Consider the following 5,873-nt stretch of genomic DNA (forward strand, 5'->3'; position numbering starts at 1 on the left):
TAGTTTATGAAGAAAAGAGGTTTAACTGACTCAGTTCTGCTGGTCGTACAGGAAGCATGGTTGGGGAGGCCTCAGGAAACTTATAATCATGGTGGAAGGGCAAAGGGGAAGCAAGCACCTTCTTCACATGGTGGGGCAGGAGAGAGAGAGAAAAAAAACCCAAACACCGCATGTTCTCACTCATAGGTGAGAATTGAACAATGAGAACACTTGGACACAGGAAGGGGAACATCACACACCGGGGCCTGTCGTGGGGTGGGGGGAGGGAGGAGGGGGAAGGGATAGCATTACGAGATATACCTAATGTAAATGATGAGTTAATGGGTGCAGCACACCAACATGGCACATGTATACATATGTAACAAACGGGCACGTTGTGCACATGTACCCTAGAACTTAAAGTATAATAAAAAAAAATGAAAAAGAGAGCGAGAGAACATGCAAGTGAGTGAAGAGGGAGGTGTTACGTCCTTTCAAACAACCAGATCTCATGAGAACTCTATCATGAGACAGCACTGGCGGATGGTGCTAAATCACTGGAAACCACCCCCATGATCCAATCGCCTCTCACCAGGCTCCATCTCCAACACTGGAAATTACAATTCAACATAAGATTTGGGTGGGGAGACAGAAACAAACCGTATCAGCCACATAATGACTAATGGTGAGGCGGACAATAACCCATGCCTCAAGGTCTGGGCCTAAAAACTTCTGGCTCACGTTATGTTCAAGGACTTTTTCTTTTGTTGTTAGATTGGGAGATGTTTTAAAAAGTAAAAATTACACCTCAAAGAGAGTATTCTTGCAGAAATTTGGCCTTTAATAACACTGTCATTTGGAATCAATGAGTGAATGAGAGCAGAGGTTTGCTAACTTCTATAATACCCAAAAGGCAACCACAAGTGGAGGCCAGTCTCTGGACATCTTCAGATGAATACAAAATTTCTTTAGGCAAGGCAGTGTCTGTGGCCTGGAGATTCCTTCAACTGTTTGCAGAAAAGTAAATGTAGTTGCAGAAGTTTTAGATGGGTCATTGCTTCTCACTTACAGTTGTAAGTATTTAGATCAGTGCTTTCTAACTTTAATACGCACAAGAATTATCTGGGACTGCTGTCAAAATGCAGTCCCATTCCCTAGGCCTGGGGCAGGTCCTGAGATTCTGCATTTCTAACAAGGCCATGCCACCACTGCTGATCCGTGAACCACACATAACTCAGGAGAGCTGACCCTTCACTCCCACTCAACATCAGTGAAGCGGAATAGGTTCGAGGGAGGTGGGAATGGTTGGCTTTTTTTCCCCTCCCCTTCTCTGTTATCAGCAGCACCCAGTGGGTGGTTGAACTTGCATTCTCCCTCAGAGGCAATGTGACAGTGTGAATTGGTCTCCACTTCTCAGGAAAGCATTGGTGGGGTGTGGAAAGAGTTGAGTTTCCTTTCCACCTATGAACAAAGAGAACACCCAGAGGGAAGCTGCATGTATGTACCTGGCCCTTACTCTGCATGTTAGCAGGGGGTCTACCTGCTAATAAAAGAAGACTCAGTAAAATCCAGAGTCCGAACCCAAAGGCAGAGGTTACAATTAATTTGTCACTCACCATAACAAGAACAAGGAAAACTACAACTTGAATGAGAAATGACAACCAACAGATGAATTACCAAGATGAATCAGATGCTGGAAATATCTGAGCACCCACCATAAAAACTCTTCAACAAGCAACTGCAAATTATCTTGAAACAAATTAAAAAATTGGAAATGCTGGCCAAAAAATAGATAATATAAAAATAATCATATGAAAATTATATAACTGAAGAAATACTATCACCAACCCCTCCCCTCCCCAAACAAACAAACAAAACAAAAACAAACTTGCTGAATGGGCTCAACAGAAGAAGAGAGATGGCAGAGACAGAGTCAGTGAATCTGACAGCAGATTAATAGGATTTACTCCATCTCAACAATGAGAAGAAAATAGACTATTGGGGGAAAAGACAAAAATTATCTCAGGAATCTGTGGGGCAATAACAAAAGAACTAACATTGATATAATCAGAGCTCTGGAAGGAGAGACTAGAGAGTGAGATTGAAACAGTAACTGAAGAAAGAATAGTTGAAAACTCCCCAAATCTGGCAAATAGGATAAGTCCAAAGAAGTTCAGGCCAAAGCTCTTCATAATTAAACATGAAGTGATTCGTGCAATGATACCACATCCGGAGTGTGGTGGAGGGGCTTGGTGATGGAACATCCAGGAGGACCGTGTGACAAAGGCCACTATGGAGACACAGCCTCCCCAGACACTCTTAGTGAGTTCTTCCTGCTTTTCAGATTAGATCCTGGGGCGGCGAGATGAATGGAAATTGTCCCTGCTCTAAGAAGATCATAGGTGATTTGAGGGGTGGACGTATAAACCATCTATGATGGTGAGAACAAGAGGATTGTTCTGCCCCTGGCTGCTCTAATGACGCCTGTCTTGATTTTGAGAAAATCCCTCTACTTTGCATATCTGTAAAGTGGATGTACAGATTCATGTGCTCTCTGAGTGTGGGACACAATTAATATATAGATGATAGTTGCATAAAATGCCCTTTTTAAAGTTACATTTTAGAGAGTTGGAGCCAGGGTCTCCCAACATTTGTGGAGCTCTATCACTCTGACTGTTGGCTCCCAGAAATGATCTGTATGGATTTCTGGTCCTCTCTCTCCTGGTATTGGGACTCTTTGCTATGAATGCAAGAGATGGTTCAAGAAAATGATTCTCCATTGCAATAGCTACATGAGTACAGGGGAGACTGGATTCCTCATATGTATTCTAGGTTTCTCAGCATGTCATTGAAGAGTGTTTAGGGATCTTGTGAAATTATTTGCAGAAGGTAAGTTTCTTATTCCTGCAAGGACTCTGGCATAATTCCTTGGCAAACTCAGGATTCTATGACCTGTGTAAATCATATCCATCTCTGGACGGTTTTCTGTATACCAACTGGCAACTCATCATTCTTTTTAATAAGGTTAAAGCCAGGAGAGAATTCAACTTCGGTGTTTTTATATTCCTGTAAGAGGCTCACCTGTGAGAAAACTGAGGATGCAGGACCAGGAAGGTGAGGATATCAAGCTGGATGACAAGTCAAACAAGCCCCACACAGAGCTCTGTGAGTCACATCTCAGAGTTGTCCCCATCAGGAAACAAGGAAACCTGGCAGGTGGGGCACTGACACAGGGAGAAAGATCAAATTCTTCAGGCACTTCCAGCTCCCAGGAGTGGGGAGGGTGGGCTCCAGCAGCCTGTAGGCAGCTTCCCAGCAAACAGACTCAGATGCTGGTGCTGGGGCTACACCAGGAGCCTGGGCATGAACCAAGTACTGGATGAAAGGGGACACTATACCTATTGGTCTGTTACAGCAACACTGTGTGAGCCTTGCTAAATTACCCAGTAGATTTCCTGGTCCTTTATTGAATTATTTTGTGTTTTTTCCCCTCAAACCACCTCTCTGCACCCTTAGTCAGTGTCCTTTCTGATGACCTCCTCATCATCAGATGCTCAAAGCTGAATTTATCTGCATCACCTCTTTTTCTCTTCTGGCTGCCACTAACTTTCCCTCTCTCTTACCAAAAATGCTATTTCTCGGCATGCACCCCAGGACCCTTCTTTTTATGCTTTCCCAGGAATTACAGGTCTTCTCTTGCTATGGGCTCATTTTCAACCCCTAAAGCGTGCTTTAGTATCTCCTATCCCTAAAAGACAACAATAATCCCCATTCTCCAGCTTCTCCAGCTGCTCTATCCCAACCCAAGTTGCCTCTTGCCTGGGCCACATTCATGCTGGACTCACAGCAAATTCTTTCATAACTGGGTTACCAGCTGGACTTTTGCAATCATAAATCCAGTCATGTTTAAAACCTTCCCATGGTTCTTCCTTGTGCTTCAGAAAAACAGTGTGAACTCCTACAAATGACCTCCAAGGCTCAGCATGACGTATTCCCTGCCACCTCCACCTCTACGCTGCACCTCTTCCTTGTATCTATCACATTTCAGCTCCTGGTCCTCTCGGGATGGCTTGAAGACTCCAAACTCATTTCTACATTAGCGAACTTGCATATATTTGCTCTGCAGAAATGTGATTTCTCTTGTTTCTATAGATATAATAACTATGACATCCTTGCAAAGGGGAAGGCCACTCCAAACTCATTTATATTATATTCATTTGTATTTATATATCATTTATATTAATATATCATTTGTATTATATATCCATAGTGTTTTCCCAAAACCATGTCAATAGAAATTTATTTGGTCTTTTGCCAGAGACTGAGCAGTGGTGGGATTGAGGGTCAGAAGCACACATCTTTCCTCTTGTGAAGATTCAATTGCTTCCCTTATTATTAACCACTAAGGCGCTTTATAGCTCCCTTACATCCTGGCTGCTGTTAAGATCATACGTAAATAAACTTTGTCTAAGGAAAGCAAAATTTGGCCAGCACTATTCTGAAGCTGACATAGTTTGTCTTATTGTAATAAGCTCATTTCTAAGCATTCTATAGAAAGAAACAGTGACTAAAACATAGCAAGATTAGTGATTTTAGGAGTATTAGTCAGAGTGGACTAACGGCTACAACAGATGAGTCAAAATTGCATTGCAGGGGCTTAATGAAATAAAAATGTAATTCTTACTCACAACACAGTCGTATGTGGATTGGAGAGGATTCTCTTCTCCACATGGTCATTCAGGAATTTAGGCTTCCTCTATCTGTGATTTGGCCTTCCTCTTGGTTCCTGGAATTCTCTCCATTCACCTGGCAGATGGGAAAAGAGAGCAGGGATTACATGTGAGAGATTTCATGGGTAGGTCTTGGAGATGGGGCACACTACTGCTCACACTCCTTTGGCCAGAACTCAGGGCACATGGCCTCACTCAACCCCAAGGGAAGCTGGTTAGTATAGTTTGGATGTTTGGCCCTCCAAATCTCATGTTGAAATTTGATCCCCAGTGTGGGAGGTGGTGCCGGTTGGGAGGTGTTTTGGTCCTGGGGGTGGATCCCTCATGAATGGCTTGGTGCTGTCCTGGTGATGAGTGAGTTCTTTCTCTATTAGTTCCCAGGGAACTGACTGTTAAAAAGAGCCTGGCACCTCCCTCCCCTCTCTTTTTCTCTTGTTGTGAGATGTCTGCTCCCCCTTCCCTTTCTGTTATGAGTGGAAGCAGCCTGAGGCCTCCCTCACCAGAAGCAGATGCTGATGCCATGCTTCTTATACAACCTTCAGAACCCTGAGCCAAATACACCTCTTATCTTTATAGACTTCCCAGCCTCAGGTATTCCACTATAGCAACAAAAATGGACTAAAACACTGGTAAACGCCATGCAGGTATGTGCCAGGAGAAAGGACAGCACAGGTAATGGTGACAATTGGCTGTTTCTGATTCATCAACCCAAGCTCCCACATCTAGAAAGCACCCACAATTTGGGCGTGTCAATAAGCCTGATAAGAAAACAAAACCAAACACCGCATATTCTCACTCATAGGTGGGAATTGAACAATGAGATCACATGGTCACAGGAAGGGGAATATCACACTATGGGGACTGTGGTGGGGTGGGGGGAGGGGGGAGGGGTAGCATTGGGAGATATACCTAATGCCAGATGACGAGTTAGTGGGTGCAGTGCACCAGCATGGCACATGTATACATATGTAACTAACCTGCACAATGTGCACATGTACCCTAAAACTTAAAGTATAATAAAAAAAAAAAAAAGAAAACAAAAGCAAAAGAAGCCCAAACACACAAACAGTCTAAAGTAAAAGCCTTTTGGAGAAAGAAAACATGGTTTCAGTAGTGATTGCCAAAACCATCTACACCAGACAGAGTCTGCCATGATCTGAAGCA

The sequence above is a fragment of the Homo sapiens genome, chromosome 9 (assembly GCF_000001405.40).
Source record: "Homo sapiens chromosome 9, GRCh38.p14 Primary Assembly".
Lineage (NCBI taxonomy): Eukaryota > Metazoa > Chordata > Mammalia > Primates > Hominidae > Homo > Homo sapiens.